Raw genomic sequence first — 25954 nt, 5'->3', positions numbered from 1 at the left:
GAGGGGAGGGCCTGGCCTTACTGCGTGGAGAGGCCAGAAAGGACAGCAGGGGCAGATGTGGGAATGAATGAATGAAGAAATGAACAAGGTCTGGGACCAGGCCTTTCCAGCAGCCTAGTCCTTGCCCTGAGGTCTTTCTTGGTCCACTTGACAAATGGGGAAAACCCACCACTCCTTGCTCTGGCGGAGGCTTGACCCACAGTGCAATTGAGGGCCTGGCAGGGCTCAGCTTTCCAACCTGAGACAGGGCAGAGCCAGCCGACCTCTGCTGATACTCTCAGCCCCTGCGTCAGGGAGGGTGGGGTGGGCGGATGGCCCCCATAGGCTACGGAGAGTTGGGTCCCAGCTGCCCAGGAAGATCCACTGCAAGAGGTCTCCTTGACTCCCTGGCCCAGCCCAGAGCCATCCCTCAGGCCCAAGGCTGCCTTGCCAGGCCCTGACCTCCACCTCAGACAGGAATCATTTATCTCCATCAACTGCTCCCAGCAGCCAGGCCCTCGGCCAGCAGGTGCTGTCTCCATTCCATGAGGTTGACACTGGGCAGCCCTTCCTCCACTCTCAGTCTCATCAGCTGGACTCCCCAGGAGGAGGCCAAATCAGGCAGCCCCTGCACAGTCTGCAGGGGCTTAGAGGAGCGACCCCTTCCCTCCAAGCCCCCAGAAGACCCAGCTTCTAACACATCAGGGTTAATCCACCCCAGACATCTGCGACTGCCCACTGCAGGCCTACCATGTGTTGGGCACTGGGCTCAGCATGGTGAACAAGGCCAGGGTTCCACCCCTACCCACACAGAGCTATATTCTTCTGGCCAGGACGGACTTGGTTCCCCAGGCCCAGCCACATGACCAGTGCAGGCTCGGGGAGCCTCAGGCCTGTCTCAAGCCCAAGGCCCACGGGCCATGGGCCTCCGTGAGAGGCCACTGTCCTGCCCTGGAGGGGGAGAATGGGGGTGTCCCCAAAATCTGCCTCTGAGAATGACAGCATGCCACACAGGCTGGTGTGGGCCTGTCTTTACCTGCCCCAGGTGAGAGGCTACAGGCACCAAGCCGAGTGTGGGAATCTGAGAGACCACATGTGGCCAAGCACGTGTGAGGACACGGCTGCAAAGGACACACGTGCGCAATGGGCCAGGCTCCAGCAGGGCAGGGATAGTCCCTGTTGCCTCCGTGAGCTGACATGCATGTCTGTTGAGGTGTTATCATTCCAGGCTCGTGGAGGATGGGTTGTAACTTGTCTTCTTTGATTGGAGGAGAGCCCTGAGCTCAGGGAATCTGTCTTGTCCCTCCTGACCCTGCCCAGGTCCAGAGGCCTGGGTCTGCTTAGACAGCTCACTGTGCAGTGGAGATGGGTAGGTGTGGGAGGCCTTTCTCCTGGCTCAACAAGGGCACAGCGGTACCCTGAAGCGAGAGCTTCCTCCTCCCTTCTCCCATCTCACTAGGGCAGCCGCCCTTCTTCCTGGGTTTCCACCCACAGGCCCAGGACAGGCCCTTGAGCCCCTAATCCCTGCCCTCCCATCAGTGACTGCGCCTTTCTCCCCAACCTTATCTGTCTCCTGCAGCCATCGTCAACTCCCCTGTGGCCCGGGCTCCCCCTCCCTCCAGCCTCCCCGCAGGTCAGGTTGGTATGTCCTCTCCCCCCTCCCCACCCCCGTCTCCCGGGCTCCTCCGCTCCCTCTTCCTCTCCTCTCTTCACCTTCCTCCTCCTTTCCCTCTCCTCCTCCCCACTCCCAGTCAGCCTGCCCTCCTATCTGCCTGTCTCCCTCTTTTCTTCCTCCCCCTGCTTCCCCTGCTTCTTTCCCTTTCCTGCCTTTCCTTCCTTCATCCTCTCCTCCCCCGTCCTCCCTAGGGGAGAGGAGGGATTTGCAGGGTCGGGGGCAGCCACTGCACTCAGTTACCCCAGGTCAGCCTAAGAGGCCCCAGCACAGAGACCCCTTTGGCTGCTTTCTTCTAAACCGGAATCTAATTGTGATCAAGTGAGGGAGAAACAGCTAATTACACCCAACAAACAGAGGCCCCCTGGGCTGTTTTATGGTGGAGATGAGAAGGTATAGGAAGGGGCACGTTTACCTTGCAAATGTGGGCTGGGACCCAAAGGGTTTGTGTCTGGCCTGGCAGCCTGAATGAGCTCCCTGGGAGCTGGAGCCCTCAGGAAGGCTTCAGGAGGAAGCTTTGTCTTCCAGGTCAGGAGAGGAAAAGGAACATCTTCCCTCACCCATCACAAGGGTCGTGACTGACACCCTTATAACAAAAGACAGATTGACAGAAAAGCAGAACACATTGATTTCACCAAAGTTTTAATGACTGGGGAGCCTGAGGAAATGAAGATCCAAGGACCTGGGAAAACAGAATATTTTTATGCTAAGTCTGATGAAAGAAGTTGTGGAGAAATGCTTAAAGCAAAAGGGCATGGCCTAATGCTAATAAGCTGGGAGCAGGGCTTCAGCAAGACCCATTTGTTCAGGTTTCTTACTGGGTCTCTCCATGATAGAGGTGCTCTCGCCCCTGCCCAGGGGCAGAACCCCTGTCTCAGGAGGACCTTTACAAGAGAAGGGAGGAAGTCAGAAAGTGACCTTTCTAGGTTTTATGGTTTGCTTGGCTAGGAGAGGGGTTCTAGTTCCTATGACCACTTTCGGGGAGAAAAGGGAGTGGAAAAAAAGGAGGGCTGGAGAAGGGCAGAGTGACCTGCAAGGTGCCGTATTCTGGAGTCATGTTTCTTTCTTTCTTTTTTTTTTTCTTCTTTTTTGAGACGGAGTTTCGCTCTTGTCCAGGCTGGAGTGCAATGGCGCGATCTCAGCTCACCGCAACCTCCCTCTCCTGGGTTCAAGCGATTCTCCTGCCTCAGCCTCCTGAGTAGCTGGGATTACAGGCATGCGCCACCACACCCGGCTAATTTTGTTTTTTTAGTAGAGACGGGGTTTCTTCATGTTGGCCAGGCTGGTCTCCAACTCCTGACCTCAGGTGATCCACCCACCTCAGCCTCCCAAAGTGCTGGGATTACAGGCGTGAGTCACCACGTCTGGCTGGAGTCGTATTGCTTGAGCCCCAACAATACCATGCACCGAATACCACATACCGCACACCGTGGAGCGTCCCAGTGCTGGGGGCTACCACGCAGCTTTCTTTCTTGGCCTCAGGTCTTCAATCCTCCCATCTGTACCAGGGTGTGGAGTGCAGACCCAGCCCAGTTGGTGACCTGACCAAGATCCATTCCTGCCACAGCTACTTTCTACCTGTGAGCTCCCCAGTAAGTCACTTAAACTCCCAAAGCCTTACTTTCCTCATCTGCTCAATGGGGTCATGGGGCATGCCTCTGCCACAGGGCATGTGAAGACTTCAGCAGTGGCCTGGTATACCAGACATTGCCCATAGGAGCCAGGACCAGAGAGTATCACTGTTGAAAGCAGCAAGATGAACCTAGGTTAGCAGTGAGCAGAAAGGACAATGACACTCCACCCCCCGGAAAAAGAGATGCAGTTTGGTTTTACCCCTGACCTTGCAAACACAGACAGGGAAACTGAAGAGGCTCCAGCAGGCTGGGTGTGACTTGGGAGGTGTGCTCCCTGAGGAGCTCATTCCTTGTGTTCAAGAGGAGGGAGAAATGGGGGCTGTGTGGGCAGGAGACAGAATGACTGGAAGGACTGTGATAACAACCAACTTCAACCGTGGTGTGAAAGCTCCAGCACATAATAGGTACTCAGCAAGGGCTCACTGTCCTGAGTTCTGCCTCCTCCAGGAGGTGCCTTCCCTGTGCCCCACCTCTTCTCCAGTTCCTGGGATCAGCTCAGGGCAGGTGAGAGTCCAGGTGCTGCCTGGCACAGGGTGTCAGAGGAGGGGAGATGATGTGTGAGTGGGAGACCTGCTCAGAGTGTCTGCCCCAGGGGCTCCCCCGGGGTGACTGACACCCCCACAGACACACAGACTGATGGGTAGAGATGGAGAGCCTCCACTTCTCTGGCCAGGCCTGCAGCTGGCCAGCTCCTACCCCTCCAGCCCTGTCCCGAAGGTGCCTCAGCCTCTGCTGTGTCCAGGGATATCTCAGAGAGGTGTGGCTGGAGTGGTCTGTTGAGGTTTGATCATGGAGGCCTTGAATGCCAGGCCCAGGACAGGATAGTAATAACAGCTGTTGGCTGCAGCTGGAAGCACAGTCAGCCAGTATAGATGTGTGTGTGGGAGATGGTGACGTGTGTGTGTGTGTGTGTGCCTGTGTGCACCCATGGCTGGCCACGTGGGATGTGGGGTGTGACTGTGCTAGGGTGTTACCCATGTGGAAACACAAGGGTGTGTGTGTGTGTGTGTATGCATGTGTGGGTGGGTGCATGCACTCCTCTTCTGCTGCCCTGGCATCCCAGGGAAGCACACCCACACTGCTGCACTCCCAGGTGCACAGGCAGGTGCCCACTGAAGGTCTGAGCCATCCCAGCTCTCTACCTGCCCACCAGCTCACCCACCTCTGCCAATAGGCCATGCAGGCAATGAACACATCAGGTAATTAAGCAGGAGATCAATTCAACTTAAGTTGGAGGAAAGCAGCCGTGCCTAGTGGAGAGGAGAGACAGGGCTGCAGGAGGCTGAGGCTGAGCAGGGAGTGGGTGGGGAACTGGCAGGGAAAGATGGGAGGGGGTGGCTGCTGGAGTGGGATGTGCCATGCACCCTGCGGAGGGGAGCAGAAGCCAAAAGGAGAGGAAAGGAACTACGAGGACCAAGGCCACTGACCAAGGGGGCAAGGAGGGGACTGGCTGGTGGCAGAGAGAATGGGAAAGATGTAAGGAAGAACCAAGGCCAGCAACAGGACAAGCTTGTGTCTCCTCAGCTTCCCAGGGGTTCTCTCCTGGTGGGGCAGGGGCCAGCGGTCAGGATGGGTCTATCACCCAGCTTCCCAGATGGCTCACAACCTCTTCTGTGGTCCTGCTAGCCCCGAGCATGTGCACAGAACTTGACCCTGTGGGCTCTGCTGGGGGTGCCGAGGAGGATCTTTGACCATGCCCCATTGTTCACCAGCAGAACTGGCCCCAGATGTGAAGGCCCCGTCACTGGAAGGTCATCCATTCATTCAATGAACACGCACCGAGAGCTGCTGAGCACCAGCTCAGGGTCTGACATGGGCCGACTCCAGGAGGAATCACACGCTGGCCGCCCTCGAGGGGGCACAGCCTCCCTGGGGAGAACATGCAAACACAGACAGATATCCTACAGCAGAGGAGGGGACAGTGGGGGACCACAGAAGGCTTCTCTGTGACCCCTGAGCTATGGCTTAAAGAATAAGGGCAGCTAACCTGGGAAGCAGGAGAGCTTGGAGCAGAAGGCCAGGGAGAAAAGGTACTCAGGCCCTGGGGAGGGCAACAGCATAGGCAGAGAACCTACGAGAATATCCCCCAGAGATGGCACCTTGTCTGTGGGGACAAGAGAGGCCAGTGTCCATAGGTCCACCAGGGCCTTGGGAGCAGGGGTGGGCTGGGCAGGGGCTAGCATAAGGCAGCTTCAGCACTGAGGAGGTAGAGAACAGAGCGGACACCACAGGAGTTTAGGCAAGAGGGATACATGGACAGGCAGAGCTGGAGACCACACCAGGAATGGGGGTGGTTTGGGCCAGGGGCAGATGACACAGAGATATGGGAGATGGAGGGTTGGTACAGTGAAGACAGCATGAGGGCAGAGCACAGGGCGCCTTGGCATGAACGTGGATGTGTGATCTCAGCTAAGCCCCTGCCTCAGTTTCCCCGTCTGTACCATGAAGGGCTCCCCCTCACTCATGGACACTGGGAATCCTGTGGTAAACAGGACAGCCTGGTTCCTGCCTCTGGGCTCACAGCCTAGGGGGAGGTGAGACAGGAAGAGAATTAACTCCCTCAAGGAGTTAACCAAAGAAGGGGAGTTGAGGCACTATGGAGGCTCGGCAGAAGCCGGGGCATGCTCGGGTGCTCACTCTCAGTTGTCTTTGGGGAACCCCTGACCCCATCATCATGCATTGGGAACAGACACATGCCTCCCTCTTGACGTAGGCCTGGCCAATCAGCTTCCTTCATCTCCAGGCCCATGGTGATTTTCCAGGACAGGCATGTGGATGTGGCTGACTCAAAGCTGGGGCTCCAGCTGAGGGGTCAGGGAATGAGGTGCCTTGAGGAGCAGAATGGGGGAGGCCTGGCTGGGCATGGAGTTCACATTCAGGCAAGAGGCCAAGTGACAGTAATAACATTTGAGCACCTGTATCCAGCCATACCTCAAGTTCACAGACCTGGATTTTTAAACTACTTGTGCCAATAAATTCCATTTTACGGCTGAAGTAACTTGAGTCTTGGTCTTTGCCTCCTGACTCATGGCCTGAGGCTTCCCAAGCATAGAGAACAGCATGGGCACAGGCCCCGGACTGAGAACAGCTCCATGCTGCTGTTCTGGAATTGGAAGTAGCTGCTGGGGCAGGAAGCGTAAATGGTGGCGGGCCAGGAGCTTCCGGAGCAGCTGCCTTGGCCAGAGATGAGGGGGTCTGTGGAGTGAGTGGATCAGGGGTTGGCTGAGCAAGAGGGGATTGTGTGAGAGGGGGAGTGGGTGGGGCCAGCGGAAAACGAAGGGGGCAGCCAGCACAGGGTTCCATCCTGGGACCAGGAGAACGTCTAGGAGACCTTAGGAAGAACAGAGCCTTGAAGAGGCTAATCCTAGGGGCAAAGAAGGGAGTACGAGAGTAGGCTCAGGACACAGCCCCAGGTAGCTGCCAGACATGGAGCTGGGGGAGGGCAGTGGGGTCTGGAGAAGCAGCTCACCTCGTCCATCATGGAATTTGCCCAGTAGGGTCTTTGGTGATCTTGGCCTGAGCCAGTTCTGGGGTGTGGAAGGGTCACAGCCAGGGCTGGGCAGGAGGAAGAATGGGATAAGTATGGATGAGGCTGAGGACGCCGGGGCTCAGCAGAGGGGGCTGGGAGGCTTGAACAGCACACTGCGGACGTGGACATGTGCTCCGCGGACTCTCTGAGAGTCCCTCCCCACCTCTGCTGCCAGGGCTGGGGACAGGAGGCACAGGACCAGGCAGGAGGGGCAGGAAATCCTAAGAGAAGTGTCAGGGGACTCAGGGGAGCATGGAGCTTGGGGGAGGACCAGGTGCATCCCAGGCTGGGGAGAGAGACCGGGGTTGCAGGGCAGAAAGAGCTCTTGAGGCTCCAGGGAGGAGGGAGCACAGCAAGGGCAGAAGCACAGAATGAGTTGGAGTTGGGCTGGGTCAGGGGACTGATGAGAGAGGAGGCCCAGGGGTTGGCCTGACGGCAGGCCCAGGAGGCCCCAGAAGGCAAGGGGGATCCAGAGGGCACTCTGCCATGCTCTGTGGCCAGTTTCAGGTGCTCTGCTGGCCTCTGGCTTCTTCTCTCTTCTGTGAAATGAGGGTGCCCTGCAACTCCTGGGGGGAGGGACAGGACACCCAAGCCCCTCCCTAAATCAATGCTTCCTTACCCCTCCCCACCCCACCGGGTGGCTAAAAATAAAAGCAACGATAATTTCCCTAAATGAAACCTCCACTTAAACACTTAAAAAGCAATAAAAACTCAATTTTCTTTCTCTCAATTATTTTACTTATTCCATTTTCCAAAAGGTTCACCCTGTTATGAAGATGTATTTTTCCCCATCAGCGGCAACGTTCTCCGCCATTACTCAAACTGACTCAGCCTCCCCCTGCCAGGAGGGTCGCCTGGTCTCCGCGGCAACCGGGTGCCTTAGGATTGTGACTTCACCACCACTGCCTTCGTTGGTGGGGACACTCCGAGGGGGCGGTATCTGCCTCCCTCTAGCCCTTGCCTTGGTTTCCCAGCCTCCCAGCGCCATTCCTAGGCCTCCTGCCTCCAAGCCTCTCCCACCAGCCTCTGCACCTGCCTGCTGGCTCCTCTGAGACGTATAGAGGGAGATAAAGTCCCACCGGCCTCAGGGGAGCATGCGGCCTGTTTCAGGGGAGCAGGCACAGTGCTTTAATCACTCAGTCCTGACACTGTAAAAATTGGGTTTTCCGATGTCATTAGTGCTTTGTGATCGGCTCCATTTGTATCATGCCAGCCCCGTTGCCTCATCTCTGCTAATTGTTTTTACTCAGTCCTTTCATTTTTAAACTGCTGTCTTGTTGGTTTTTAATTTTTAATTATTGCTGCCTCCCCTTCCATCCTAATTGGTCCAGGCCCCTATTGAGGCTCCCTGTGCCTGTGGCTGTGGCCAGTTCCCTCCTAGTAGCCAAGGCTTGCCCACCGCCTGCCCCCCCTCTGTCCCAGTCGGTCTCAGCCTTACTCCAGAGGCAGACCGCACACCTGGCCCCTGGTGCAACAAAGGCATCATGATTCAAGTTCATGCTCCAAACACACATTAGTCACTGACTGTACAGGGTGCAGTGATCCTTGGGGGATGTGAATGACCAGACCTACCTGAGTACTGCCTTTGTTGTGTTGTGGGAGGGCTGCCTGTGTTAGGTGGGGGTACTTGGGGGGGATCACAGCCACCTCCCAACTACCTGCCCCTCCAGCTCTGCTTTCCTCATGGCCTTGGGCCTCTGCGATGTACTATAATAGGACACCAGCCTCCTCCCCTACTGCCCCTAGCCCAGAGGTCACTAGCAGCCTCCCCTCCAAGCCTTTGCTCACTCCGGTGCCCCTAGCGATTCCCTTTCTCCTCCTGGCTCAGCTGAATCCTGCTCAGTGCTCTCTGACTGTTCGAATTGGCCGGTCCACTTGTCCATCCCTCTGTCCATCATCCACTCATTTGTCTGTTCATCCCTCTGTCTGCCCGCCTGTGCTTATCAGCCTGTCTATGAGTCTCCTAGTATGATTTTTTGCCGCAAGTCCCTCTTTGCATCTGCCCTGACCTCAGTCCTTCCCATGTGTCTGCCTTGAAACCTCTGGTTTTCCCTTCTGCGAAGGCCCCTTCTGTATTTTATTTGGTCACAAACAACCAGCCACAGCCAACTTCCTGAGAAGTTTCAAAATTAAACTTGACCCTCATTTCTCCCAGCTGATGTCACACACATTCCTGCCTCCAGGCCTTTGCACTCAGCAGGCATCTCTGCCAGATGTACCCTCTCTTCTCCTTGACCTATCCAATGACCACAGACCCCCAACCTGGAGTCAGAGGCCTGGGCTCTGTTCTGGGTTCTGCCTCTCTCTTGCGGAGTGACTTGGGCAAGATCTTCCCTTCTCTGAGCTCCCACTTTTCTCATCTGTGAATGGGAACAAACCACAGGTTCTGCATGGCTCCTCACAGGGCTTGTGAGGTTGTTACGGCTTCTGGGTGGACATGAAATCACATAACCAGTGGGCAGGGAGGCCAGGGGTGTAGTTGTCACCCTTCCTTTGGGGCTTCTTACGCAGGCCCACTCCTCCTCTCTCTGAGCATCTCCACCCTCTCCACCAAAGGAGTCCTTACTGGGTTTTAGAAACTGGGCTCCCTCATGCCATTTGATCTCCAGAGCAACCCTATGAAGTAGGAACCCTCCAGCAGCCCCAGAGAGGAAAGGAGTGTGCTCAAGGTCCCACAGCGGTTAAGGGCAGGGTAGGATTTGATTGAACCCAGGGCTGTGTTGGTGGGGTCAGTAGATGCTGGTGAATCCAGATGCTCTGGGGGTTGGGATGGGCAGCACCAGCCTTGGCCAGCAGTGTCAGCTCCCCTGCATGCTGGACCCATGCTCCAGATGGACACCCCAAGGCCCACAATGGGAAGAGAGCCGCCAAGGTCACATGTGAATCCTGGTCTACCCAGTGCTTCTTCTGCCAGGTTCCCTAGCCTCCCTGGTGATGGGGAGATAGGCCCCCCTCTGCAGGGGAAGGGTGCTCTACCAGCCAGCCCGGGAACGTATGAATCAGGTTGTGGTCATAGGCGACTGAGGTTTTCTTGTACCCAGTTACCCTTCCTCCCTGCCCTGGTCTGTTCACTTCTTCAGTGAGGTGAAAAGGAGGACAGGCTCAGGATGGAAAGAAACTTTTATTGAGCATCTATTCTGTGCCAGGCACAGTGCTGGGCAAGGCCACAATTAATCCCTGAAGCCACCCTGTTCAGGAGGAGCTATTGTAATCCTGCTTTGCAGATGAGCCCCAGAGGCTCAGAGAGGGGCAGTGCCGCATCCAAGGTCTCACCCTTGGGAATCTGATGCTCCTCTCACCCCTACCAGAGGTCCTCCTTCTCCAGGAACGAGGATGGCCTGCCCTAGTCTGGGAATTATCCCCACCCCTACCCCTTCTGAGAAGAAGGCAGTATGGGGCCTGCAGTTAAGTCCCTGGAGAAGGGCCATCGCCTGTCTTGCTCCCCTCCTCCGTGCCAAGCCCCCAGCATAGAGCCTGGCTGGAACAGGTGGTCTGATATGTTTGGTGACTGAAGACATGAGAGAAGAAATGAATGTCTCAGCCCCACTTGGCTTCTACTGAATGCAGCCCCAGACGCTAATGGGCTCCTCATTCAGAAGCACCTGGACTTCAAAGGAGGCTCTGGAGGAGGCCAGGCATTACTAAAGGAATTGCAGGCACAGAAGAGTTGGGACTCCACTAGAACTGGCTGCCTTCCCCTGCTACCGGCTCTCGCAGCAGCCCCAGACGACTCAGGCTCCTGGTACTACCCCCCTGTGTACCCGACGTGTTCTCCCCACCCCCGTGCCCTGTCCCCCGTCCCTGCGTCCCTGCGCCCCGATGTTGGCACCCTGCGGGCCCGGGGGCGGCCGTGCCGGCGCCGCAGAGTAGGGCAGGGCCACCTGGACGGGTGCACATGCGCGGAGCAGCCGCCCGGCCCCGCCGCAGCAGCCGGCGCCCCCCGCCGCCGCCCGCGCCCCAAACGCGCGAGAAAAGCAAACAAAGACGTATTGGTTTCTGCTCTATTAGAGGGGCAGGAGGGGGGAAATCAATGTTTAGTAAATGGGAAAAGAGAAAATCGTTCAGGAAAGACAGTCTATTTCCAAGCCAGAGAGGGGTTCGTAAACAGCATAGGCCATTGCAGAGGAAGCACCACGGGCCATAAAACTCCCCCAGCCAAGGAATGTTCACTTAGCGAGCCCTGAGCCGGCCCGAGCACGGTGATACTGGAAGCCCCAGGGAAAGGGTGAGGAAAGGACCTGGCATGTCCTTTTAAAGCCGCACCCAGGCACCTTGCATTGACTACACCGCTCCCCCTTAATCCCTTCCATGGCTCACCATTGCCTGGGTTGAATCTGAGTCCCCTACCCGCCTGCAGGGGCCTGCATGGTGGGGCAGGGACAGTTGGCCTCTCCGGGTGCCCCATCCCATGGCTCTAGCCTCCCTGATTGGCTGGACTTGGCTGTTCCCAGGAGGGTCAGGGCTGGCTTCCTGGAGGAAGAAGTGTTTGAGTTGGGCCTTGAATCTTGTGGAGGAGTTCTCCAGGTCAAAAAGGGAAGGAATGTTGATTTAGGGTAGGAGAACAGCCTATCCAAAGGCCAGCGGTACTTGGGAAGAGACCACAGTCTCTAAAGGGGTGGAGTTCAGGCAGGGATGGGGGAAATTTTGTTAGGGAAGGAATTGCTTAATTGCCACTGTGACTGAGCAGAAGAGGCTAAGGATGGAGAAGTGGAATTGAGGTGGGGGTTGGCTTCCAGGAAGTTGGAGGTGGCTTAGTCTACCCCCTACCTAGGCTGCACTGCTCCCAAAAGACCCCCAAAAAAATAGAGCATCAGAGACGGACTGTCTGACCCTCTAGGATGCTGCAGATGGGATGACTTAAGCCAGAACATTTTCTGCTCTGGGCCCACATCTGCTGCTAGACCATTAGAATCCATCCCTTGAGACAGCTGGGATGACCCCTCCAGCACCTCACCCATCCCTACTAGGCCCCTGTGGCTGGCGTTCCATTGTTTCAGAGAGGGGGGCTCAGCCTGCTATGTGGAACAGAGTGTTGTCCTCTCCATCAAGGCCCAGCGGGCCACGCCAGGAAGTACTGAATTTTAGTTTAAGGTGGATAGCACGACTGGAGTCTCCTTTACAAATGAATTATATTCTGTGTACTGTTTGTGCATGCATGTGTTCAAGCATGTGTGTGTGTGCCAGGTCGGGGGTGTGGATTTGTGGCCTGTTCCTGTGAGGGGCATGCTCCCATGGGTAGGCATGAGTGTGTAGGAGTATGTGCTTGGACAGAAAGAGGCAGCTAGGATGCAGGCACCTTTTACAAGAAGTATGATAGAGAAAAAAAGATATTTATAGGTGAGGATCCAGAGAGGGGGATGTAGGGAAAGGCAGAGGCTTTGTTATTGCTGTTGGTGTTACTATTATGTTGTTACAGGACCCTGTCCACTGCAGTAAGTTCCTTCCAGGGGATACTTTCAGCCTCTGGACAGCATGTGAGGTCAGCTCTGCTATTTCCTCATCTGCTGAGGAAATGAACATTCAGAGAGGTGAGGTGAGCTATCTGAGGTCACACAGCTGGAGCTTGGAGCTAGGACTCTGGAACATGGCTGGGGCCTGAGATGATTTTCCTAATGAGATGGACCTGAAAGAGAGCTGGTGGAGGGCAGAGGTTGAGGGACAGGGGGGTGCTGAGTCTCCCCAGGGAAGAGCACTGAAATCTTATTTGCCCTGGAGAGGAAAAGAGGCTGGAGAGGGAATGTGGCCAGGCAAGTGGCCCAGCAGAGGGACCTGCCTTTGAAGCAGTCAGGGGAACCAGTTGGACCCCTAACCCCTCCCTGGGATATGACAGCTCCACCTCCCACTCAGGATGACTGCTTCCATTCCACCTTCTGGGCCTCTGCTTTCCCTTCTGTACAGCAAGGCATCCGGACTGGGTTAGTGGGTGGCAGGCTCCTGGGAGTCTCTAGGCTCCGATCTTCTGGAGCCCTGTGTTGGACAAATGCACAGGTTTGTGGATACACATTTTTGTTGGGAGTGTGTGCCCAGAGTAAAGCACAAGGCAAAGTGGGGGTCCAAAGACATGCAGGCATATGTTATGTGATCAATGGGGTAGGGAGTATGTTCACACTGGGTAGGGGGGTGTCCCGAGGGTCTGCTTGGTAAGTTCAGCCCAGGGTGAGAGGGGTGGGTAAGTGTAGGTATGAGCAGTAGATTGGGGTAGGCCAGGCCTGTGCCTGGGGTCTAAGAATGGAGGGGTTGGCATGGGGTCCGGGTGCAGGAAGAGGGGACAGAGGAGGCCCGTGGACGTCAGCACTTGAATTTCCACCTGCCATAGCCCATTCCCATCCTTGCACCCACTCAGGCCCCACTGCTAGGGGCAGGCACAAAGAAAACGATTTTCTCCAGTTAAGGCCAAGCAGGAGATGGAGATGGTGAGAAGGGAACTTCAAGGTGAAATCTGCCAGTATGGCCCCTGGGCTGGGCAAGAGAGGAGCTCAGAGTGGGCAGGGGGCTAAAAGGAGGAGGTTCAGAGGCTCTGGGGTATGGGAGCCTGAGAGAAGGAGGGGTGGGGGAAAGGCCACCTTGGGGGCCAAGTTGCAGGGAGATGAGGATGACTCAGGGACATCAGGGACGGATGAACACATTGAGGAGAATGCAGGCATTGAATAAGGAAGGGGCTTCCAGGCCTGGTCCCTGTGAGGCCCTTGGGGAGACACCCACTCCAAGCACCTCCTGAGTCCTAGAGTTGTCTTCAGCATGGGCATACAAAGGCAGCTGGATATGGGTTGCAGGTTCAGGGAAGCCTAAGTGTTGAGAGGCCAGGGCTAGACCTTGGCCTCGAGTGCCAGTAGAGAATCAAACATAGCCAGCCACAGGGATGCTGAGCAGGACGGTGGCTGGGGGGGTTCCTGGCACCAGAGGCAGCTCCCCTCCCACCTTGAAGAAGGCAGGCATCTTTCAGACCAGAAGCCTGGTGCCAGGTGGGAACCTTCACCAGAGGAGGTGTTGCCAGTCAGGGGCTCAGGCCACAGTACACTTGGGCCCACTTGCTGATGGAAGAGCAGGTACCAGAGTGAAGGCCATGCTGAGGCCATGCTGGGGCCCATCCAACTGAGCAACTTCAGTGCCCTGTCCTGCCAGTTTGAGGTCAAGCAGGACTGGGCAGCAGGCTCGGGATGAGGGAGCAGCTTGATGAGTGGGTCCAGGGGCTGCAGGTTGGGGCAGGTGCTCCTGGGCCTGGTGAGGAGGTGCCCTTGCTCCAGGAACCCCTTCCACCTCCAGCAGGAGCCAGGTCAGGCCCTGTCCAGCTACCCAGCCCTTGCTGCGCCCAGTTCATCTGCCCCTCATGTCAAGTGTGCCATAGATGACCCTGCTGAGACCCCCTTAAGAACAGGAATAGGCACCCAGCATGGCTAGCCTGGAGCCTCCCTCCTCCCCATGTCTGTGGTGGTCAAGTAAAGGGCCTGGAGGCTGTTGCTGGGAGTGGGATGCCTTTTTAGTGTATTTTGCTCATTGAAGAAACAAATGGGTCCCCCAACCAGAGCCTCTAGAAAAATAGCTGTAGCTTCAGAATTGCTTTGGCCCCTCCAAGAGGGCAGCCTGGGGGTCCAGGTTGTGTGTGGTGGAGTGGCAGGGGAGGTGAGAGGTGTGTATTTTCTGCCACTCTGGCCCTTATTAGCCAGCCCTCCCAGGGGCTCATATCTGTTCCCTTAGGCTTGACACCCCTTATGCTCTGAGTGTCTTCCCTGCCCCAGTTCAACCCTGCAGGCCCAGGGGTACAGGGTTGCTGACTGTACTCCTGGCCTAGGCCTTCAGGTATGTGGGTCTGGGGTCTGAATCAGACTCCAGTGAGAAATGCCACCCACTGGGGAAACATCACTGTGGAGGTGGTCCGTCTGCCAGGCAGTCAGGGGCTCTGTCTATCCATCAGTCTCTCTTTCCACTGCCCTGGCTGAGGCAGCCTTGGAAAATCTCCCTAACTTTCTTGGTGGGAGAGGCAAGGAAGGGGGTCAGGAGGGACCAGAAGAGGAATGTTTGCAGAGGGGAAACAGAGGGTGGGGCAAGCTGGGCTCTTATGTCGGCTGTTGGCCTCTCTCTGGGTCCCAGACTCAGGTAAAGAAGGAGGGGCCCCTGACCCTGCTGCGGGGAGGGCAGGATGGGTAGCAGCCCTCTCACCTGGTAGATGGGCCTCAGCACCATGGAGAGTTCCCACAACCCTACCAGGCCCCAGCCTGAGCCCAGCCACGTGTCTGCTGAGTCAGTGCCTGGGGTTCCTCCTGCGGAGTTTCATGGCTATGCTGCCCACAATGGGTGGGGCCCCATGGTTCCTGTGTTTCCCCCACATTGGCCTGGATAGGCCAAGACCTCAGGAAGGACCAGCGTGTTTGTCGACAGACTGGATGATGTTCTCCAGGCTACCCCTACCATGCCCCAGCAGCTCCTGGGTCCCAGGGACCATCTTCCCACACTCCACTTCCTCTCAAAGTTTTAATTTATCCAAGCCATCCTTTCTTCTCCCTGAAGAATCAACATTTTCTCTGTCTTTTGACATTTATTTTATTTTATTTTTACATGCGGCCTCCCAAAGGCTGTAATTTATGGCTAATACCATGCAATCAGAGACAATGGCTGGGTGCCTGTGAGCAAGAGCAGGCAGGCTCCCTGCCAGGTGCCCCTGCCCCCACCACCACTCTCAGGGGTGCCCGTGACTGTGAGGCCTCTGGGTACAGAGTCCATGAGTTAAGACCTCAAGCCCTTATCTGGAGGACACAAAGAATAGGTTCCCAGCTGCCCTGAAGCAGCCCAGTAGTGTGGGGGCTTCTGTGGGGAACTAGTCTGGGTGGAGGGGGAGGTGGGATGCTCAGGGACTCCCTGCTGGGATGGCCTCAGCTGCAGAGAAACCCCCAGCTGAGGTGCCAAGAAGATGCCTCTTGGCCCGCACCTCCTCACTGCCTCCCTCCCCCCGCCTCTGCTGTGCTGTGCCCGCGTGGCTCCCACGCTGTAATCTACAGTGCTGTTACTCTGTGTCAGTGATTTAAATCCTCTGATGGAGCTGGTGACAGCTTAAATGGCTGCCATCCTCTCCCGGTACCCGCCAGGTCCTGATGAGGCCCCATGGGGGGAAGGAGGGTTAGCCAATGTGGGGTTCAGACAGTATTTTCCAAGCTTGAGGGTGGCCAGGCTGCTCTTCCTTGCCCCTCTAAAGGGGAGGGAATGAAGCATTCCCTCTCCTTCCCCTCACCAGTGATCAAGGAGGGAAGATAAAATCCTCCATAAATCCCCCAGAAATGGAGTATCTGGAGCATGCTCAATTCTACCTGCCCACAGGTGAGAGACGCAGGAGCGGGGGCCAAGGATCGAGGCACCCAGCAGCCCATCTCTGCAGCCCTGTGGCCTGTGACAGCCAGAAGCAGGGCAGGCCTGAAGCTCAGCTGTGCTCAGACCCTGCCCCAACCTCACCAGTCACCTCCAATTATGTTGATGCTCAAACCTCAGCCCTCCCAGGGCCTCCTTCCTCTTCTGGAGTCCTCTCCTCTGTTCAGATATTTGATCTCCAGCGCAATCTCTGTTCTGCTAATGGGGTGGGGGTGGGGATATCGTACCTATGAGGAAACAAAGGTACACAGTGGCAGAGCTGGCTCAGGTCACCCAGGAGTCATTGGCAATGCAAGCCCTGGCCCCCAGCCCCTGCCTCGTCCTGAGTTTCTTGGAGGGTGTGGGCATCTCAAGAGTGGGGCTGGAAGCAGGTCCAGAGCAGGGCACTCAGCTGGGGGCAGAGAGCAGAGCTGGCAGGTCTTGTTGCTGGATGGGGTCTCTCAGACGAGATCAGGCACGTTCAGGGTGGCATGGCCTTAAACTGGATGGGGTCGTTCAGTGCTGGATCAAGAGATCCTATGAGGGCTCAGCACTGCCTGGTCCTCTGGCTCTGAGGTCCTGGACCCTCCCAATAAACCCACAGAAAGAGTGGCCTGCCCAATCCGGCAAGGTCCAAGTCTCGCGTGGGAGTCTCGTGTGGATGGGGCTTGGGGGTACCAGGTCTCAGCTCTGTTGGGGGATGTCAGAGACGAGACCTGGCTTTTCTGAACCCCATGTCTTACACCACATGCATTCCCGGGACATTGTTCATGACTCTGTGGAGCTTAAGTCAAATGCTTTGCATCCCCAAATCCAACTGATTCATAATTACAAGGAGCAAGTCTGTCTTTAGTGTAATGTGTTTAGGAAAACTGGTGGATTTAATTTCAGGCCTCTACTTTAATGATCTTCCCCCAGTCTGGGCAGGAATACCCAGAGGGCCCCACCCAGATTTGGGGAAGGTCATTAAAGCAGAAGCCTGAAGAAGGGTGGGTGGAATTCAGAAGAAAGGCTCGTGGGAGAGGGTAGGTATCCAGTCAGAGGGAACCAAAAGAAGCAGCCCCTGACGGGGAGCCAGACTTTGCCCTGATGGCAGAGAGGGAGACAGGTGATGTGACAGAGCTCCCGCCCAGGAGGGGCAGACACAGGTCTCATGACCTCCTTGTCCTGTGTGAGGAGACAGGACCCCTTTCGCTAGAAGTGGAAACTGAAGCTCAGTGAGTTTAACTAACTTGTCCAAGGTCAGCAATTTGCAAGTGGCTGAGCTATGACTTGAGCCTGGGTCCTATTGCCGCCCTTCCACTCCCACCTGAGCCAGGACGCAGGCTAAGCTGGGCTTGTAGCTTGCCAGTCTCCTAAACCCCTGTAAATCCCTCCTGGGAGCAGGAAGTGTCAGAGGAGTAATTAAATGATTGAGTGAGCAAGGCCAGCGACTGGAACAAGGCACTCGGCCACACCAGGTGTCCTTCCAAATAGCCACATGTCCCCAGCTGGGGGCTCCAAGGGCCTGAGCTGGTAGGAGGGGCCTCTCTCCCTGCCAGGGGTGGGAGTCAGGCTGACTGTCAGTCCTTGGTGCAAGACCACTGGAGAGTGGGCTCAGGGCTCCGTAGGGCAAATTGTTCCCCCTGAGTGACCCATTACTACATTACTGTCACCGTTCCATGCGGTGAGCTCACAACCCGAAGGAGTGGACCGTGGACAGATGAATGAGTATAGTATGAGGTTGCTGAGGTGGGGGCAGGGCCTGATTCCTGACTCTTTTTTTTTTTTTTTTTTTTTTTAGCTGTCACCCTGGCTGGAGCACAGTGGTACAGTCTCGGCTCACTGCAACTTCTGCTTCCTAGGTTCAAGCAATTCTCCTGCCTCAGCCTCCCAACTAGCTGGGACTACAGGCATGCACCACCGTGCCTGGCTAATTTTTGTATTTTTAGTAGAGATGGGTTTTCACCATGTTGTCCAGGGTGGTCTCGAGCTCCTGACCTCAAGTGATCTGCCTGCCTTGGCCTCCCAAAGTGCTGGGATTACAGGTGTAAGCCACCGTGCCCAGCCTTGAGGCTGACTTCTTAGGGTCCCATCTCAACTTGAGCAGGCCCCTCAGAGCCAGGTGTAGGAGTAAGACACACTGCGTTTCTTCCCACTTGCAGAAGCCCCTTGATGACTCTACACCCCCAATCCACAACCCTGACTCAGCGGCTTAGTCCAGCTCTCCTTACCTCCCACCCCAACTGCCTTAATGACTTTTTAATAAATTGAAAAATTGTTTCAATACCAAATACGATCCCGGGACATTGTTCATGACTGTATTGAGCTTAAGTCAAACGCTTTGCGTCCCCAAATCCGACTGATTAATAATTACAAGGAGCAAGTCTGTCTTTACTGTAATGTGTTTAGGAAAAGTGATGGATTTAATTTTTTTATCGGCCAAAGTAAGAAAATGTAATCTTTCTGAAAGTATCTAAAACAACAATGCACCATAATTAGTTTCTCTGGAAACAGGCATAATGGAATAGAATAATAAATCACTTCTCCTTTTGTCCCTTTCCTCTGATGGAGAGAGATTTCCCTTCCATGGGGCTGGGAATGGGACAAGGAACAGAACTGGGGGAGATGTGCAGCTCTGGCTCCTCTCTGTTGAGTCTGCAGATTTGGCCCTGCCCCACCCACCAAGAAGTTCAGGGTGCAACTCCTCTATTCCCAGGTCAGACCCCAAACATTTCTCAGGAGCTGGGACCCAGACTCCAGGGTTGTGGGTGTTCCTGCCTCCCTCACCAGTCAGATCCATACCCATTGCCTTTGACATCTCCCTTCCTGGGCAGCCAAGATGACATACCTTGGGGGACTGCAGTGACAAATTATTATTTTGGTTGACTGTTTAGGCATCCCAAGATGAGGGAAGTACAATAGACCAGCAGAGAAGGACTCTTAATTTGTGACTGGAATAGCTCAGTTACTAACTTTCCTGATGTGCCCCTGCCCCCAGCTTAGGTGGCTGGGGAAAAAGGGAAGAGGGAAACATCAGAAAGAGGGGAGAGGGTGAGGGGGTGGGTCCAGTTCAGCCTCCAGCTTCCTTCAGGCAGCCCCCTGGGGTGGCTTACCAGACAGAGTTCAGTCTTCCTGGGCCCTGCCCCCATTGTAGGGCAGCCTTGCCTGGCAACCTCCACAGTCCTCTTCCCCTGCACCCCCATCCTGAGCCAACCCCTGAGGTGTGGGTTGTTCTCATCAGAAACTCCCGTTTACCGGGTGCTCCCCGCTTAGCTGCCACCCTGCCCCAGGCCTACAATCAGTGATGACAGGATAATTGTTTGTTTATTGATCCTGACCAGCCTTCTGTGGCCTAGTGATGGATGATGTGGGAAGAGCCCTGCTTGCCTGGGCACAGGCACCCCAGTACCGGAAGAATCAGACGTGGGCTAGCCTGGACCCATCCCCATCCTGACACATCACTGCCCCTCTTCTGGCCTTGGCCTATGATGATGGAGCAAAATGAGCCCCAAATTGGGAATCTGGAGCCCTGGGTCTGAACCCCAGAATTCTAGACTGTTACCCAGAGGCCTCAGGCAGCCATCTTCCTCCTTCCCTGCAATCCCTAGCCTCGGATCTCCTCCTACAGCCCAAACCCTGGGGCTAGACCAGACTGCAGGGACCCTCAGCCAGGTTTGAATTTGGAGGATCAGCATGAGACTAGGGTGCCCCAGCTGGTGCCTGATAGATGCTTGCACAGACCCGGAGGCTCACAGCCCACACCAGCCATTCTATACCCATTGCCTTTGACATCTCCTTTCCTGGGCAGCCAAGATGACATGCCTTGGGGGACTGGAGCCCTGGGGCTGAACCCCAGAATTCCAGACTGTTACCCAAAGGCCTCATTCCTCTCTCTGCGTACCTCATTCACCCTCCTCCTCTCTCTTGGCCTTCTTGCTGAAGCTGGCCCATCCTCTCCCTCTCTGTACCCTCCTGAGACAATCCCAGCTGCTTCCTGCCCCAGCCTCTCCCATTGCAACTCACCACACCCATAGCCAGAGCCACTGTCCAAGGCCCAGCTCAGACCCTCCTTCCCTTTCCACAAGGCTCCCCTGGGACAGGACAGGCTCCCACGTGCTGCTGGCTAACCCAGCCTCATCTCCGGGGGCATTCTTTCCTGGAGTCCCAGAGCCTTGCCCATCTGCCTCCTGAGGAAAGGCTCTCTGGCATCTGGGAGCCAGGGCCTGGAGCAGGATGTAGGGGTGGGTTGCCCCTCCACACCTGTGGGTGTTTCTCGTAAGGTGGAACGAGAGACTTAGGAAAGAAAAAGACACAGAGACAAAGTATAGAGAAAGAAATAAGGGGACCCGGGGAACTAGCGTTCAGCATATGGAGGATCCTGCCAGCCTCTGAGTTCCCTTAGTATTTATGGATCATTCGTGGGTGTTTCTCGAAGAGAGGGATGTGTCAGGGTCACAAGACAATTGTGGGGAGAGGGTCAGCAGACAAACACGTGAACAAAGGTCTTTGCATCATAGACAATGTAAAGGATTAAGTGCTGTGCTTTTAGATATGCATAACATAAACATCTCAATGCTTTACAAAGCAGTATTGCTGCCCGCAGGTCCCACCTCCAGCCCTAAGGCGGTTTTTCCCTATCTCAGTAGATGGAGCATACAATCGGGTTTTATACCGAGACATTCCATTGCCCAGGGACAGGCAGGAGACAGATGCCTTCCTCTTGTCTCAACTGCAAGAGGCATTCCTTCCTCTTTTACTAATCCTCCTCAGCACAGACCCTTTACGGGTGTCGGGCTGGGGGACAGTCAGGTCTTTCCCTTCCCACGAGGCCATATTTCAGACTATCACATGGGGAGAAACCTGGGACAATACCTGGCTTTCCTAGGCAGAGGTCCCTGCGGCCTTCCGCAGTTTTTGTGTCCCTGGGTACTTGAGATTAGGGAGTGGTGATGACTCTTAAGGAGCATGCTGCCTTCAAGCATCTGTTTAACAAAGCACATCTTGCACTGCCCTTAATCCATTCAACTCTGAGTTGACAACACATGTTTCAGAGAGCACGGGGTTGGGGGTAAGGTCACAGAATCTCAAGGCAGAAGAATTTTTCTTAGTACATAACAAAATGGAGTCTCCTATGTCTACTTCTTTCTACACAGACACAGTGACAATCTGATCTCTCTTGCTTTTCCCCACACAGGAAGCACAGCCTGTGATCCCAGGAAGACTGAGGAAGCCCCACCTGAACCCTCACAATCCTGCTGGACCAGGGGGCTGGAGGACATGGATAGGTGGGGCAAGGAGTGAAGGCAGGGAGAGGAAGAGAAATCGGATCTCCACTGTTGGTGGGTGCCAAATCCACCTGATCCCCTTGCTTCCTGGCTAAAGGTAGGATTGCACCTTCCTGCCCCCTGGTGGTCATGCAGGGGTGCGTGCCTGGTTCCGGCGATGAGTGGTGAGCAGAGGCAGCACTTTCAGGACAGGGCTTTTAATTGCTGGTGTGAGACCTTTTAGGGGCCGGATCTCCCTCCACCATGACAACAGTCAGTTTTCCAGAATTTGGCTATCTGGCCAGCCGGGGCTCAGTATGAGAATGACACAGAACAGAGCCTCAGCTGACCCATGAAGAGCAGGGAGCAGGAAAAAGAGATAAATCTTCATTATTTTAAACCAGTAAGATTTTAGGGTTGTTGTCATTGCAACCTAACTGAGCCCATCCTGACTGGTACGAGGAGGAAGGATCTTCGCTGTGAGCAGCTGGTATTGGAACAGGGGAGGGGAGGGATGGAAGCGACCATAGTCTATATGCCAGGGGGCTGGCTTCTCTCTCTTGTTTAGATGGCATGGCCCTTTCTCTCTCTGTGCCTTGGTCTCCCTACCACTAAGCTGCCTGTATATCTTTTGGGACTGTGGGAACAGTGTAAAAGTGTCTTGAGTCGGGGAAGAGTGAGCACAGGTGACTGTGGATGGGGATGGTGATAGTGAGTCCCAGTGGGGCAGGGCAGGGTGAGGGAGTCGCTGCTACTATAAGGGTGACAGCAATGTGACCATGATGGGGACAGCAGCACTGAACTGCTGGAGGCAGTGTTGGTGATGGTGTTTGTGCTGGCAGTGAGGGTGCTGACAGCAATTGAGTCCCTGCCTGTCAGCCTAGCCCAGGTCCTGACTTCCACCAGGGCACAGGCACGGCAGTGATCACAGCATTCCCAGATGGAAGGCCCCAAACATTGATTAATTACCTCTGCTGGAGCTGGCTAATTGTCCACTGATCTCTGCCCTGTCTGCCTGACCTGGGCGAGCCTTCCAGAGCAGTACCGCATGGCATCAGGGCAGGGCTTTTCCAGATATGCCAGCCTCATGTCCTCTTCATTAGCCTTAGATGAGCAGCCCCTCACTGTGCACAATGCAGGCTCCTTCTGGGAAGCTGGGTGTTGTGCTGGGCAACTATACAAGGCATCAGATGGTGTTTTCCTGAAACTTGATGAGCACAATATGGAGTTGCCATGTGCCAGTGATGTGCGCCGGGTGCAGTCTGTTGGGGGTGGGGTGCTCAGGGACGTGGCCAACGGAGTCCACCCTTGGATGCTCCTTATAGATGTCGTGGAAGTAGCCTTGGCTCCATCAGCAAAAATCTCTGCCCCTTCCATGAGGGACCTTGCACTGGCCGCTGAGGGCACCATGGATTCAGCAATGATTCCACCCTGCCTTGCCCCCTGGGAGTCCCAGTCTGAGAGAGGAGGCAGTTCCAGACCCAGACATACCCAGTACGATGTGTTTGACATGGACATCTAGTCAAGCGCCAGGCCGGAGCAGCTCTCTGATCCTAAAAGCCTCTGCCTCCAGCCCGTCTCACTCCTGATACTGATGGGCAAACTGAGGTTGGGAATGGGTGAGGTAGGTCCCAGGCCACACCAGGATGAGCTGGGCCAGGGCCACAATCTTGTCTCCTGGCTGGGGCTCCTCACGCCACACCCCACCTCCTCATTCTGAGCTCTATTTTTGCTGGAAGGCACAGATGAAGATTAAAAAAAAAAAAAAAAAAAAAAAATCCTCTGTTTTGTTTTTGCTGAATCAGCACTTCTGTCATCCCAATCTGAAGGGCTTGGCTTGTCTGCTCTGAGGGGGAAAATGCTTCCATTTAAAAGCAGAACTAAAAGAAAAACATCCACAGGCCCCATTTCACTGCGCCAGACACGATGAGCAAACCATGGTCGTTAACATGATAAAAGTCACTTTGTCTGGGTGTAAAATTCATTTTTCCCCATTTAGCACATGGTGCATTTGCATCATGCTGCAGTTCCCAGGCTGTGATCTCCTCCCAAGGATGTCCCAAAATTGTTCCCATTCCCCAGGCAGGGTCCCTAAGACCTAGGCCTGGTGAGGCTGGGGCCACAGCAGCTGTTCCCTTGTCCGTGAGGTTTTCTTCCTGGCAGCATCAAGGGAGACCTTGAATCCCCATATTTTCCAGCCAGGCCTGGAGGGGACTTGGCAGGATGAATGAGTGGAGTATCTGGGCACCCCAATGCACCCCCGTTGGCCCAGTCCTTGCCCTGGCTCTGCCACACAGTACCCACAGGGATCTCCCTGTCCAGCAGCCTGACCCAGAGTCCCATCTGCACCCCCTCAGCCCCAGAGCAGGGCCTCACCCACTCCTGCCTCAGAGAGGGAAGGGAGTTGCCTTTGGTCACCTGTGCAGCTGAGGCAGGGCTCATTCAGTTCCACCACACCAGGGCCGAGAGTTCAAATCCCATCATTACCAGTGCCAGGGCCAACAAGGGTCAAACACCAGGGCTGAAGCCGACAGCTTGAGTCCTGCTTCCCATCCTGTCTTAGAATATAGCCTCAGAGCTTCCTCTCACTTGGATTTAGTTTCCCCAACTATACAGTGACCTGTTCCATGGGCCAGACTCTGAGGTCCTTTTCAACTGTATCCTTCCCTGAAAGTTGTTCAAACATCATCAACTCTTCAGCCTGAGCCTTCTGGGGGACCCAGCACCATGGGGGCACCACAGCTGTGGGCCAAGTGGCAAGTGGACAGAGTGGGCAAGAAGCAGCAGGCCAAAAAAGACCCAGGGCCTCCTACAAGGCCCCAGCCCCAGCTTTCCCCACAGAGGCTGAGCTGGCTCCTGGAGGAGCTGGCATCAGTCTGCTGCCTCAGATGGCCCAGGTGAAGCAGCTGCCAATGCTGAGTCTGTGGGTAAGATCCAGCCCCAGGGCTTTAGGAGGTGGGAGCGGAGGCCTCCTTTCTGCAGAGCTTTGCCAGCAGGCATGGGAAAAGGGGGAAGGCCAGGACTTCCAGGCCCCTGCCCCTCAGCCCTGGGGACTTAGACACAGTTACTGATAACACTACCAGCTGCAATGGGCAAGGAAACAAAGACAGCCCCTCCTGGAGAGAAGGAATGCAGAGGGCCCTGCGGAGAGTGGAAGAGGAGCCAAAGAGGAAATGAGCATTGGCCCCAAGAAGGAGAGGGAGGGACCCCTTAGGTAGCATCCTTACCTGGCCCAGGGGTGGGCCTGGGGAGTGGACTCAGAACTCACAATCTGGAGAAATGGATTCACAAGCAGCCCTGCCCTGCCCCCCTGACTGGAGAGCCAGAGAGCCTGCGAAGGCCTGGGCAGCAGACGGGAGTCCTGCTAAAAGTAGGGAACATGTCCAGGCTACAGGGGCAGCAGAGCAGGCTGCAGGCCCTTTAGAGATGACGCTGGGGTCCCCACATGACTTTTTCTGGGACAAGCAGGACCCCAGCAAGGCCATAGTCCAGCCTCAGGGCACGGTGTGAACTGTCCCTCCCCTCCAGTCCGGGCCATGGAGACTCTGTGCTCCACACCCACAACTTACATCCTGCTGCCTGAAGAGGGGCCCCTGGCTGCTGGCCAGAGCACAGTTCTCAGGGACTCTGAAGCCCCTGGGGAGGGGCAAGGGGCCCGGCCCTGATGGGAGGGTGCGGGAGGCGCAGTGCGCAGGGCAGGCGGGGCCCGGCAACAGCTGTTCACTTACTGAAGCTATTTTGTAATATTGCCAGAGCTTTTAAAATAATCCCATTTCGGCAGAATATTCCCAGCTAATTGGAGCTGTCTCTTTCTTATTAAACAGAAAGGTTATAAAAATGTGTGTTGAGGGTTTAAGAGCAATACCTCTCGGCTGCTCTGATTGTTATGACAAGGATAACGTACCGGAAGCCCATGCTTGGCTGGCTGGGCGGAGCAGGCTCTGGTGGCTGGGCAGGGGCAGCGGTGGGGAAAGGGGCGGGCAGAGGAGCAAGGACAGGGGCAGGGACAGGGGCAGCAGCAGGGCCGGGCTGGCTCTCCTCGTGGCCCCCCGCACAGCACACGCTTGAGGAATGGCAGCCTTCCCCAGAACAATTGCTCTCTAAACACTTAGGCTGCTGTGACAGGGCTGTCCATCACCCAGGCCTCTGACTGGGGGAATTCGCATAATTTACTGAGAGGCAGAGGAGAAATGGGGAACTGATTCCAATTAGCTGAGCTGGGAGGCAGATGAGTTCGCCAAGACCTCAGTTCTTAGGGAGGATGAATAAATACCTGCCCCCCTCTCCATGAAGTGGGGCAGCCTGAGAGAGAGGGCTCTCTGCCCCCACAGTTGTTCTGGCAACTGAGGGGCAAGCTGGGCCGGGGTACCAAGAGCTCCCGTTCTGCAGATGAGAACATGAAGCCCACGGCTGTAAAAGGCTTTTCACAAGGTGATCCTAGGAGAGTGGAAACCACAGTCCAGACCGTGTCAGGGGCAGAAGCCTCTGCCCAGCACCTGTACCACCTCCAGTGCAGGGCATGCACCCTGATTCTGTCCTGGGAGCCTCTCAACCCCCT

At 55.7% G+C, this 25954-nt stretch overlaps 1 long non-coding RNA gene across 1 annotated transcript, besides 6 other annotated features; it reads left to right on the top strand.

The window, feature by feature from the left end:
* Positions 1085-1761: an enhancer, noted in NCBI's record as "H3K4me1 hESC enhancer chr3:50576885-50577561 (GRCh37/hg19 assembly coordinates)". NCBI's record gives its function as "activates a minimal SCP1, AML or CMV promoter by ChIP-STARR-seq in primed H9 embryonic stem cells {active_cell/tissue: H9 hESC(primed)}" and the evidence as "EXISTENCE:reporter gene assay evidence [ECO:0000049][PMID:30033119]".
* On the top strand, positions 1559-6253 carry LOC105377083 (uncharacterized). The gene is made up of 3 exons (XR_940833.2): positions 1559-1617; positions 3134-3243; positions 5001-6253. It is a non-coding gene; the product is annotated as an uncharacterized LOC105377083 (long non-coding RNA).
* Positions 3259-3500: a silencer, noted in NCBI's record as "fragment chr3:50575146-50575387 (GRCh37/hg19 assembly coordinates)". NCBI's record gives its function as "represses an EF-1alpha promoter that drives an FKBP-Casp9 reporter gene in an ReSE screen in both phorbol 12-myristate 13-acetate-treated (for megakaryocytic differentiation) and untreated K562 erythroleukemia cells {active_cell/tissue: K562 | K562(+PMA)}" and the evidence as "EXISTENCE:reporter gene assay evidence [ECO:0000049][PMID:32094911]".
* Positions 8104-8853: an enhancer, noted in NCBI's record as "H3K4me1 hESC enhancer chr3:50569793-50570542 (GRCh37/hg19 assembly coordinates)". NCBI's record gives its function as "activates a minimal SCP1, AML or CMV promoter by ChIP-STARR-seq in primed H9 embryonic stem cells {active_cell/tissue: H9 hESC(primed)}" and the evidence as "EXISTENCE:reporter gene assay evidence [ECO:0000049][PMID:30033119]".
* Positions 15208-15845: an enhancer, noted in NCBI's record as "H3K4me1 hESC enhancer chr3:50562801-50563438 (GRCh37/hg19 assembly coordinates)". NCBI's record gives its function as "activates a minimal SCP1, AML or CMV promoter by ChIP-STARR-seq in naive H9 embryonic stem cells {active_cell/tissue: H9 hESC(naive)}" and the evidence as "EXISTENCE:reporter gene assay evidence [ECO:0000049][PMID:30033119]".
* Positions 17636-18145: an enhancer, noted in NCBI's record as "H3K4me1 hESC enhancer chr3:50560501-50561010 (GRCh37/hg19 assembly coordinates)". NCBI's record gives its function as "activates a minimal SCP1, AML or CMV promoter by ChIP-STARR-seq in primed H9 embryonic stem cells {active_cell/tissue: H9 hESC(primed)}" and the evidence as "EXISTENCE:reporter gene assay evidence [ECO:0000049][PMID:30033119]".
* Positions 24957-25595: an enhancer, noted in NCBI's record as "H3K27ac-H3K4me1 hESC enhancer chr3:50553051-50553689 (GRCh37/hg19 assembly coordinates)". NCBI's record gives its function as "activates a minimal SCP1, AML or CMV promoter by ChIP-STARR-seq in primed H9 embryonic stem cells {active_cell/tissue: H9 hESC(primed)}" and the evidence as "EXISTENCE:reporter gene assay evidence [ECO:0000049][PMID:30033119]".

The sequence above is a fragment of the Homo sapiens genome, chromosome 3 (genome assembly GCF_000001405.40).
Source record: "Homo sapiens chromosome 3, GRCh38.p14 Primary Assembly".
Lineage (NCBI taxonomy): Eukaryota > Metazoa > Chordata > Mammalia > Primates > Hominidae > Homo > Homo sapiens.
Note: the sequence above shows the minus strand (reverse complement) of the source record. Positions and strands in the feature narration are given on the sequence as shown.